Source organism: Homo sapiens, chromosome 3 (assembly GCF_000001405.40).
Source record: "Homo sapiens chromosome 3, GRCh38.p14 Primary Assembly".
In the NCBI taxonomy this organism is placed as follows: Eukaryota; Metazoa; Chordata; class Mammalia; order Primates; family Hominidae; genus Homo; species Homo sapiens.
In genome coordinates this window covers 161,954,511-161,967,695 of record NC_000003.12, presented here as the reverse complement: position 1 = coordinate 161,967,695, position 13,185 = coordinate 161,954,511, and positions in this window count along the sequence as shown.

Sequence of the window (13,185 nt, the reverse complement as noted above, 5' to 3'; positions counted from 1 at the left end):
ATTGTCTTTTATTAACTAAAACTAGTATACTTGAAAATTGTGAAAAGTTTTTATTCACTCTACATAAAATATTTTGATATTCTATAAAAATGATTTAAAGTCTTAATGTTTAGATATTTTAGGTCTAATAAATTTTTGATAGAAATGCAATTCTATCACATTTTTCATATGCAGGTGTCTCAGCTCAAAGCATTTACTGCAGTAAGGTGTAACATTACATAACACAGAAGGAAACCTTTAAGAATTTTTCTCTTCACCTCTTTCCTCAAATTCCTGCTCCTCCAAAAAACTGCCTCCATAAACTTTCACTTTCTCCATTGGAAAACTCTAGCCCTGCCCAGGCTTCTTTCCTCAGAAACCCCTTTCTTCTCAAATTTGATTCTTCTTTCATCAGAATTACTTAATGCCATCAAACTTATTGTTTCCCTTTGTTTTAAGACATTAGATTGTATTTTAAAGAACTCTTTCTGTTTCCAAAACCACTGCACCCAACATCTTTTATTGAAACATAAACATATGTCTATAATAGCAAAATTCCATGACTTTGCTATGTCACATGCTCAATAAAACAAGTTTCTGCATATGCATGATCTAATTAAGTCCTCCATTCTATTCAAATATTCTACTTTTGTAGCCCAGCACTTTTTAAATTGCTATAGTTTTATGGTATGTTTTAACATATGATAGAAATAAGCTATTTTTTTGGTCTCATGACTTTAACAGTTTGGGCTCATATATTTTAAGGCTATGTTTTTAAGTGCATCCAAGTTCATGATGGCTACATCTTGTTTTAAATTATAATATGGGGCACATCTTGATTAAATTAGATTCTATTTTATCTGATACATGAGCTGACAGTAAGAAATAACATAACATCTTTTTACTTATCAAGGTTTCAATATTTTGGTGTGATTTATTTATAGAAGTGTCATTTATAGACAACACATTAGTGAATTCTAAAAAGCCAATATGATGATCTTTAATAAATTAGTATTTACTGATTACATTTAACATTTTCATTATTACAATATAACTTTTAGTTACTTAGAATTTAGCATTTTAACTTTTTAAGTTTTGACAAAAATAATATTATTAATACCATCCTTTAATAATTGTTTAGTGACTACCTGGAGTATAAAAAGTCAGTCTTTATAAGCTTAAAACTATGATACCTTTTCCCTTGGATTTTTTTTTTTTTTTTTTTTTTTTTTTTTTTTTTTTTTTTTTTTTTTTTTTGCTTTGAGCTTATTTTAAAAAAAATAACTTAGTTGGGAAAAAAATTCTAACTTGGCAATTATCTTCCTTCAGCACTTAAAAAATAGTGATTTTCTTTCTAGTTTTTACAGTTGTTGAAGAAATGCCTAGTATTAATATAAATGCTACTTCTTTGTAAGAAATGTCTTTCTTTCTGGGAGATAATTGTAGTCATTAAAGTTTTCTGTCATAATTTGTAATTTTGGAATGATTTTTCGAGTTGTGGGTTTATTTTTTTTTATTTTGCAAACTATTCAAAGTGTTTTTTTATATGAAGTTTCTTGTGTTTCTTCCATTCTGAAAAACTGTTTGCTGTTATCTCCTCAAATGTTACTTCTCTAACCTTACTTCTATTTTCTGCATCTTTTTTTGCCAGACTTTGCCTCTTCATCTATCTCCTATGTTTCTTAAAACTTGTGTACATTTTGTCTTGTTCTTGCCTTAACTCGCATCCTGGCTGAGAACTATCCTTTGTTCCACTAATTCTTTTTTTAATGGTGTCTAGTTTAGAGTTTACTTTTTATTTATTTCTTCAGGTTCTAAATGTGAATAATTTCATTCTGAAGATGTCTAGATATGTATAGACATAGATAGAAATATGAATATAGATACACACAAACATATGTATATATGTATAAATGGCATGCATGTATGTATACATGCATATGTGTTTGTATGTGTGTTATACACACATGTGTATCCATATTCTTGTCTGATTTTTGCTTGTTTTGCATCTTTATTTTTCTAGCAAATAAAATTCAAATTTCATTTATCTTTGTGAGTATTCTAAACATACTTATTTTAACTTTTTGCTGTCTTTTCTATAAAATTACTTTCATCGGGAATGAATTTACGTACTGGTTGTCTATTTTGTTGGTAACTTTTATCATTAGATATATTTACGCACTTTGGAATTTGGAGTTGCAGCCTCATTTTTAATTTGTAATGCCTTTTCAATTGTTTTTGACGTTTTTTGCTTTACTCTCCTATCATATGCCCCTGTAGATTAGTTTTGTGGTTTTATCTTACAATGACATTCTAGATTTCTTTTTCCACAATATTCTACAGCATATCTCAGATCCAGTTGCTGGGGATTACAAAAGGAGGGCCACAATTTGTACCTAGATGCAGAGCTACATCTTTGTCCTCCCACATCCTTAGGTCCATAACTATCTATAAATCTGTAGCCCTAGAAAACATGTTAACAAGTTTTTAAAGTCACCATTTCTACAGATTTCCACTCAACCTCTGACTTTTACCGATGACACCTGTTCTAGTTGGTAGTCTTACAAAAAGTACTTTTTAGTGTTCCTTACCCCAAAGAGTTGGTTTCCAGACTCACCCTTCTTCTGAACCCATATCCACCAAGTGTAAAGTTTCTGCCTACTCAGCACTTTGTGAGTCTGTTCTGTTTCGAGTCCACGTAGGTGTTTATTTTGATTTGGGGCTGTTATGTTTTGTCTTTTTATTCTTAGATTTTATCTACCATTGCTATGAGTTTGAAGTAAGAGTGCATCTGAGCATAAACAGCCATCTTGTGCAAAAAAAATGGCCTTTCTAATGCATCTTAACCTACCACCGTTCTTGTTTTTAGTTTTTTTTTTCAATTTTAAGCTGGATAATGCCTAACTGAAACAAAACAACAACAACAACAACAACAACAAAATAGAAACTTATCTCCTTACAAGGTGTATTAATTCATTCTCACACTGCTAATAAAGACATACTGGAGATGGGATAATTTATAAAGAAAAGAGGTTTAATTGACTCACAGTTCAGCCCAGCTGGGGAGGCCTCAGGAAACTTACAATGATGGCAGAAGGGGAAGAAAACATGTCCTTCTTCACATGGCGACAGCAAGGAGAAGTGGCAAGCAAAGGGGAAAATCCCCTTATAAAACCATCAGATCTCATGAGAATGCACTCAGTATCACAAGAATAGCATGATGGTAACTGCCTCCATGATTAAATTACCTTCCACTGGGTTCCTCCCATGACATGTTAGGATCATGAGGATTACAATTCAAAATGAGATTTGGATGGGAACACAGCCATATCATTCTGTCCCTGGCTGCTCCAAGATCTCACATCCTCACATTTCAAAACACAGTCATGCCCTTTCCAACAGTTCCCTAATTTCTTAGTTCATTTCAGCATTAAACAAAAATCTAAGTCCATAGTCTTAGCTGAGATAAGGCAAGTTGCTTTCAACTATGAGCCTGTAAAATTAAAAGCAAGTTAGTCACTTCCTAGATACAATGGCGGTACATGCATTGGGTAAATAGACCCATTCTAAATGGGGGAAATTGGCCAAAACAAAGGGACTACAGGCCCCATCCAAGTCTGAAATCCAGTGGGGAGTCAAATCTTAAAGCTCCAAAATGATCTCCTTTGACTCCATGTCTCACATCCAGGTCATGTTGATGCACGAGGTGGGCTCCCACTGCCTTGGGCAGCTCTAGCCTTGTGGCTTTGCAGGGTACAACCCCCGCTCCTGGCTGCTTTCATTGACTGGTGTTAAGTATCTGCAGCTTTTATAGGTGCATGGTGCAAGGTATTGGTGGATCTACCATTCTGAGGTCTGGAGGATGGTGGCTGTCTTCTCACAGCTCCACTAGGGCAGTGAGTGCCCCAGTGGGGTCTCCATGTGGGGGCTCCGATACCACACTTCCCTTCTGCACTGCCCTAGCAGAGGTTCTCCATGAGGGCTCTACCCCTGCAGCAAACTTCTGCCTGGACATTCAGGCATTTCCATACATCCTCTGAAATCTAGGCAGAGGTTCTCCCTCAGTTATTGACTCCATGCACCCACAATATCAATGCCACATGTACACCACCAAGGCTTGGGGCTTGTGCCCTCTGAAGCAATGGCCTAAGCTGTACATTAGCCCATTTTAGCCATGGCTGGAGCTGAAAAAACTGGGATGCAGGGCACCATGTCTGGAGGCTGCATTAGAACAGGGGGAGCCTGGGCCTGGCCCATAAAACCATTTGTCCCTTTTAGGTCTACAGGCCTGTGATGGAAGGGGCTGCTGTGAATGTCTCTGACATGCCCTGGTGACATCTTCCCCATTGTCTTGGTGATTAACATTTGGCTCCTAATTACTTATGCAAATTTCTGCAGCAGGCTTGAATTTCTCCCCAAAAAGATAACAGATAGAAAAAATATTTTCTATCACATCATCAGACTGCAAATTTTTCAGACTTTTATATCTTGCTTCTTCTTGAATGCTTTGCAGCTCACAAATTTCTTCCACCAGATATGCCAAATCATCTCTCTCAAGTTCCTAGTTCCACAGATCTCTAAGACAGTGGCAAAATGCTACCAGTCTCTTTGCATATCAAGGGTGACATCTACTCCAATTCCCAACAAGTTCCTCATCTCCATCTGAGACCACTTCAGCCTGGACTTCATTGTCCACATCACTATCAGCATTTTGGTCAAAGCCACTCAACAAGTCTCTAGGGAGTTTCCAACTTTCCCACATCTTCCTGTCTTGTTCTGAGCCCTCCTAACTGTTCCAAAGTCTGCCTGTTACCCAGGTCAAAAGTCGCTTCCACATTTTCATGTCTCTTTAGAGCAGCACCCCACTCTCTGCAGTACTAATTTACTGTATTATTCTGTTCTCACACTGCTAATAAAGACATACCCAAGACTGAGTAATTTATAAGGGAAAGAGATTTAATTGACTCACAGTTCAGCACAGCTGGGGAGCCCTCAGGAAACTTACAATAATGGCATAAGGGGAAGAAAACACATCCTTCACGTGGCAGCAGCAAGGAGAAGTGGTAAGCAAAGGGGAAAAGCCCCTTATAAAACCATCAGATCTCAAGAGAACTCACTCACTATCATGAGAACAGCATGAGGGCAACCACTCCCATGATTAAATTACCTTCCACTGGGTCCCTTCCACGACACGTGAATATTATAGAAACTACAATTCAAGATGAGATTTGGGTGGGAACACAACCAAACAATATCACAAGGTAAAAGAAAGGAGAAAGTAATGTGTATTTTTAAAATATGTTTGTCCAAGTACATGAGAGTAATAAGAGTCATTACATCTCACTGATTTGTTGTCAGAGGAAATATGATAATGGAGCTCAGCATCTCATACAGGCTTACCATATATTAAGCACTAACTACAGTTAGGTCATTATTATTAGCCTTTAAACTTGGTTTGCCTCTTAGTGGTTCAAAATATTCTCACTGCTCTACATAGACAACTTGCATCCAGCTCACTATTAGAAACAGGTTTGGGAGTTGAGAATTCCCAAATGCTTCCTCATGAACAACAAAAGAAAAAAGTCGCTCATTCCTTTGGTCTTGCACTTTATTCTCATGGGTACTTTATGAACTATAACTTACAAGTAGGGTTTTCCCTCTTTAATCATAGAACTACAAAGTATTCACATTAGAATGATTTTAAAGATCATCTATTTGTACCCTATCAGTTGGCAGGTAAGATTGTTCCCCTTAAAATAAACTATTTTGGCCTAGTTTATCCAGATAATGAGTGACATAATGTATCTCAAATTCTGGCTTTCTGCCTGTAAACTTCTATTTTTATTTTACTTCTTCTTTCTTCCTTAAAAATTATTATAATTCTCACTAAAACCCATTATTTTAAGAGCTGTATATAATAAGGATTTATAATAAAGATTAATGTCAGAATACATGGACACAAAATGATACCACCACACTTTTCCCATTTCCCTAATCTAAACTTCCAATGTCATCATAAATTTCTTTCTGTGTAAACAGAATACTTAATTCCCGCTTTCCAAACTACCCTAATATTTCTAAGTATATCTTAATTCTATTAAGAATAATGAAAGACAGTAAGACTTCATCGATATTTATTATGAGGCACAAATAGATCATACTCATATCTCCTAGAATTTGCACTTTACACAGTGATCAAACTATTATTGTAAAGCTCTTAAATGCTAAATTAGAGAGAAAGTGCAAGATACATTTTTATTCACTGATGTCTCTCCCTTGTGTTCCAACTTTGTGTGATAAGAAAAAACCCATAAGGTACATACGCAGACGGATCAACAGTAGCTACCATACTGTAATTGATATAAAAATATCTGCATATACTTGACACCAATTTTGTATAGACCTAAATTTGTTAGTCCAAATTCTCAGGCAATGGAATCTCCAATAGCTTCTTTCCCAGGAGAGCTGTCTCTGTTGACTGGCACAGATTGTTAAAATCATCCTACATAAAAAGCACAACATTGCTGCCATTATGTTACCTCCCTGTCACAAGCAGATCCTGATTTTGGAATTGATGAGCATACGGCAGAAAATTGTCTCAGGGAAGCTCATAAAACTTCAACAAACAGAAATAATTTGATTTTTACTATTTCTACAGGCATTATAAGGCATTTGGGAGGACAAAACTTCTAGAGTCTAGAAATGTAAACAGATAAATCTCATGTGACCATAAGAAGTAATTATCCTGGCAGCTGAAAGAAGACAATGATGGACTTAAAAGAGAATATGCATAGGCATAGAAATCCTGACCCTACATATCCTAAGTTCCTATCCTCAGAGATCCATGCAGATCATGACTGGCCCTATGTAAGTTTAAGAAACTGATAATGTCATTTTCACAATACTCAGTCCTATTTCTAAGAATTTTTCCTCATTTCAAGACACCAATTTTCTACGCAACCAAGAACTCATTGCCCAAAACTTCTCTCCTATTCCGGAAGTCAGACTTGTGTCAGATTGCTCATATTGGGGGTTTGGGGGGAACCTCTTAACAAATTGTGAAAAAGCAGAGATTGTATAAGCCGTGTAAACTTAAAGTTACTTTGCTTCTTCGATTCTTAATCTATGAAAACTAGGTAAGGTCTACCTCACCAGTTACTGAGACGGTTTATACAGAGGATATATATGAAAGAGTATTATACAAACTGTAAAGTAGTATGACATTATATTTGTCATGTATATACCAGTACGGGTTTCACGTAGTATACTATCTCTATACATCGAACATTTTCTCTAATTATGAATGTCAATATTTTTAAGACGTCAAAGACTAGCAAAAAAATGGGATAGTTTGAGAGCCCAGAGAGGCTTTTCCCTTGCCACAGAAATAGGTATCTGTCTTGTGTATCTGGAAGTCTAACATCATCCTACGCCAATTCCAGCACAAAGAATGCCATAGTTAGCAAGGCAGGATTTTTTCCACTGTTAGGCTGGTATATCTCAATGTATCTATTGTTACCTAAAACCCAGAGCTGCTTTCTCTAAGTCATTGAATTTTCTATAGTCACACTATGAAAGATGATATGAAATAGCCAGAATTTTTTCATTAACAAGTAGAGAAACCCTACTTAAATTGACCTAAGCACAAGTAATTTATTAGAGCAAAACACAAACTGGCTTCAGGCATAGATGAATCAATATGTCCAAATGATGTCAGAAACCTGTCTCTTTCTGTCTCTCATTTCTGCTTGTTTCTGTATTGGCTTCTTTCTTAGGAATTATCTCTGTGTGTGGTGGAATTATGGCCAGGCTTTCATCCTCCTAGATCAGCTATCCTGCCAGAATGAGAGCTTCCATTTTCCAACAGTTTCAGAAAAATCACCAGAAATAATGCCCATTGAAAAATTTTGGAAGGTCTGGCTTGGATTTGAGCCAAAATGGAATAATTTAGAATGGAAAATAGATGGTTCCCCAGAGAAAATCAAGTTGTTGTTATGAGAAGAATGGAGAGTGGATGTTGGTCCGGCAAAAACAACAGATGTCCACTACATGCCCAGGCTCCATCACCGAAGACACCCTGGGAACAGTCCACTAAAGTTTTATTCCTCTAGGGGCTACTTTGTATTTGGAGATTGCTGTTTTCAAAAATCATATTTGACCGCCAAGTATACAATTACTTTTATACTCAACTCAGAGAGGGCTATATTAAACAATTTATACAGCAGCAGGTGTTGCATCTCATGAATAGAAGAAATTAATCCTACAGATACAATCTGACCTTGCCAGATCCCACAGCAAAAGAAATCTGCTTTATGCACAGTTGAGGTTGAGCTGCATGATAATCATGTATCATACAATTTCATGTGAGCTGTGCTAAATGCCAGGTTTTACAAAAATCAGTGTGATATTTCTTCTAGAAATGGAGCTAACAATTATTTTCAAATTCAGTGCTAGTTAAAATTGATTGATATAGGACAATTTCTTTGGGTAGAATTGAAAATAAATGTGTGTTTCTTTGTAAAAATCATCTTACATAAGACCAGTGTATCTCTACATTTTAAGTTAATTTTCGGTCAATAAATGGCTTTGTGAAACTTTGGAAAAGGCAGACAAATGTCAAATCCTCATGGTACCACTAGCAAGTTGTATGCCCTTGCAACATTTCTTAACTACCATGGCCTCAGTGAGTTTATTTGGAAAACAGGAATATCACCTAATTGCCTGAGTGCAAGAGATTTAACCAGGGGATCCTTTGAGCATTTTTAATATGAGCAAAGCAAAAAGGTACAAAATGCAAAATAAACCTAAAGACATAAAATATCTATAAATATCAATGAAGCTTTGATGAAATGAGATAAAATTTCATATCAATATTAATAGCATTGTAGAGTAATATTGACCATATCATTCTTACCAAATGTTTTAGAAAAAAAATTAGTACCTTTTTTACAAAAAAAAAAAATATGATAATGGGTTAAACAGCTTGCAAATATTGTCAGGATTTTTTACATATAATGGACATATATATGGACCAAAGCGAAGAATATTAGGTTTAGAACTGGTTTTATCTACAACTTTCAGGAAAACTTGGAAAATAATTTTCATTGTATATGAATAATTAGAAATAATTATTAGAATAATTAGAAATAACTAGAAATAATATTCCCCATGTTCTTATACACTGAGCTGACAAAAAAATCACCAGTAATTATACAATATTCTATAAGCTAAACATAAAGAAAAAATACATTATAAATACGGAGAATTTTTTGGGTGGGTGATGTTTTCCTTTAAACCCAAGCTATTTGCCCTTTTAAAATATTCTTATCTTCTAATTCCTTGAGTCTTGACAAATTAGAGATTTTGTATTAAAGTTTCTCTCTCAGTTCATGTCTTGCCTCTGCTTTGGAGTTCATTTGTATATAAATCTAGTAAAGTGGCTAAGGAACACAATCTCTGTTATAAGGTAAACCTGAATTCCAATCTCAACTACATCACTTCTCAAATGTGAGGCTTCAGGCAGATTGAATAACCATTGTACTTCCATTTCTTCATCTGGAAGAGGAGGATAACATGTTTACTTCGTAGAATTCTTATGGGGATAAAATAGGGTAACATATAAAGTGATTTACAAAGAGCTTCACACAAAATAAGTGCATGATAAATATTATGTGTGGTATTATCAATAGCATTTCAATTTGTTACAATCAGTGTTATTTCAATGTTTACATAAAACAATAGATTCAATTAATCTACTGCATAAATGAGATCATCATTTAATAGTTGATACTGCCACTAAATAGATACAAATCTATGCAGCTTGGAATAAACAAAAAGTGAGTCTTAACTCTCACTCCAAGATAAAAGATGCTCATGGATAAAAAATGTACATTTTTTTGATGAAGGAAAACAAGGTCACATTTGTTAACCAAACTCAAGAAAAATCACAGATATTTCATTTTTTTTCTAGCACACACAGGTCCTATCCGTGATCAGCATGAAATGCTGAAAGGAATGATAGCAGTTTATGTAATGAACCTGACTCACTATTCAAATATTCTTTCCTGCTCATCTCAATTTACTCCTCTTGAATGCTCTATCTTGCCAATGTCTTTGTTAGAGGATCTACCACACTACATTGCAATTTTTTCGGTTTCATGTCTGTCTTTCTTATTTGACTAAGAACTCTTTAAAGATGTCTAAGTGATAATTATCTTCTATTTCCAGAGCTTAGCCTGCTGCTTGATAAATAATAGGCACGCAGTAAAAGTTTATCAAATTTAGTTTAATTCACTCATGGAATTTTCAAAGCTTCTTTAACTTATATATGAGTGATTTCTTTTTTTTGGAAACATTACATCTCAAGTCATTATTGAAACCAAATATTCTCCCTCTTTAGATGTTAAATGACAAATGTAATCAGTTTTCTATATGAAGTACATAAACATGTGAAAACCCCTGATTCTGACACAGTAACGTATATTTTTTTCAAATAGGTTTCGACCACCTCACTCAGAATATATAAATAATAATTTTACTGCTTTACGGAAATTCAAAACACTAAGATTTGAAATCATGTGTGAGAGATTTGTATTAGTAAATTAGTCACAGTTTTGCATATGAATAGATCTTATGATCCATCTTTGAGATCCTATCATACACCTTAGTAATCTGCTTCTAAATGCATGTCTGGATTTCTCTTCAATCCTTAGCATTTCCTGTAAAACATATTGAAATATAGTACTGATACAAATGTTTCTTGATGTGGGTTTAAATTTTTAGCTTCAAAATATTTCAAGTTTCAAAGCAGAAACACTTACATGAAACATTTCCTTTATAAATTTGATGAGGCTACAAAAATTTGTGATCTCTTTTCATTAGGCTTCTACCATCTTGGCAAAATGTTTTTTCACTGTTTACCTCTGAGATTGTCCTGGGACCTCCCACTTGAACTATTTTTCACCCTAACTTCCAAATGCTAATAAACAAAACAGAAATATATATCTCTTAGGCTGATGGAAAGTTAAAGCCTAAGTATTTAATTATGACATGAATTACAGACAGAATACATTTGCTTTCAACCTCAAAATGGGTCCTTTTTCCTAAAAAGTGTAGCTTCTCTTTCCCTAATTTTAAGTATTAGTCATTTCTAATACTTTATACTTTTGAGAGCATTTTGACATTTTAACTCATACTGTACTATTTCAGAACTCATGTGCTTCCCCTGTGGTTAGTATAAGGAGACAGAAACCAGCCAAGGAAGCAAAAACCCTGACTTTTATTCCAGATCACAATTTTTCTAGTCTCATTACACATTTGCCCAGCCACTGCTGCCCTCTACTATAGCTCTCACTCTTGCAAGGATTTTAGTGATCTTTCTTTGTATCAACTTTGTATCCAGTATCAACTTATAAGGCAACAGTAACATCCATACAGCAGATGCACAGAATCATATTCTTATGGAAGCTTGCATACATTTTCTTTATGTCAAAAATTTAATTTCACTAATTTATTTGCTATATTTCCTTTATAGCCATAATATGCCAGCACCACATTTTAAAACCTACGAATTGGAACAAATTAAAACCTATGAATGCTAAGATTCACTTAGCATTTATTAGGAAAAACATAAAATCTATAAATAGGCAAGACAATGTATTTGAAAAGTTGTTGTCCAAGTTGTGATTCATACACATTTGTTCATGGACCTTGAAATTCACAGAGATGCTTCAGCTTATGATTGTGAGGCTCTAAACTGCTCGCATGTCATTTTCCCTTCCTGAATCCCTGCCTGACAGATTTCAGGCTTGCTTAGCCAGCCTCCACAATTGCTTTAATGAGTTCCTTGTAAAGATTTCTACTGGTTGTGCACTCATGTTAAATTCTGATACAGAATCTGATATCATCAATGTATTATTATATATTATGTACAAAAATCAAAACAACGCTAGAACCATATGTACTTCAAGATCCTACCCAATGTGGGAACGACTTGTATAGGATGCCCAAGTGTCCATCAGTCTACCAGTTTCACGGTGTTTTATTAATTAAGACCCCTTCCTGCTTTTAATAAGGAGAATATAAAATTAAGAACTGAGAGAGTTCTAGATTTAAGCCTTAACTCTGCAACCACAGAACTGGGCAATTTGGGAGAATTATATAATGTCTATCATACTATAAAAAGGCACTAGATATATAATGAACTCCAATAGGTTTGATTACCAGGTCTCCTACAACTCCAAGAAATGCTGGGAACTCCATCTTTTTATGTTTGTTTACCTATTCAAAAATCACATTGCCTTATTACTTTAGGAATAACCAAAGATAGATAGATAGATAGATAGATAGATAATTTCTCTGTGTCACCCAGGCTGGAGTGCAGTGACACTATCTCTCACAGCAATCTCTGTCTCCTGAGCTCAAGCAATTCTTGAGCCTCAGCCTCCCAAGTATCTGGGATTATAGGCATGCAGCACTGAGCCTGGCTGATTTTTCTATCTTTAGTAGAGACAAGGTTTTGCTGTGTTAGCCAGGCTGGTCTCTAACTCCTACCCTCAAGTGATCCACCCATCTTGGCCTCCCAAAGTGCTGGGATTACAAGGGTGAGCCATTGCACCCAGCCAAAAGAATATTTTTAAATCAGAAATCATTCTATAAGGTTGATTAAGCTGGATATTGTTATATGTTGGTTCCAGAAATGATGTTAACTATTTGGTATTTTTATTTGCTCGTCTTGATAACTTTGTTCTTTAGCAATAGGATTGTTTTTCTGTAACACATTATGGCTACAAAGAGTTGATAAACTGACACATTCAGTTTACCAATGTTTACACATTTTTTGATTTTTTTTTTTTTTTTTTTTTTTTTTGAGACGGAGTCTCGCTCTGTCGCCCAGGCTGGAGTGCAGTGGCGGGATCTCGGCTCACTGCAAGCTCCGCCTCCCAGGTTCACGCCATTCTCCTGCCTCAGCCTCCCGAGTAGCTGGGACTACAGGCGCCCGCCACTACGCCCGGCTAATTTTTTGTATTTTTAGTAGAGACGGGGTTTCACCGTTTTAGCCGGGATGGTCTCGATCTCCTGACCTCGTGATCCGCCCGCCTCGGCCTCCCAAAGTGCTGGGATTACAGGCGTGAGCCACCGCGCCCGGCTTTACACATTTTTTGAAAGTTATTCAATGAGAAAAATTATTACAATAACTTTTGATTA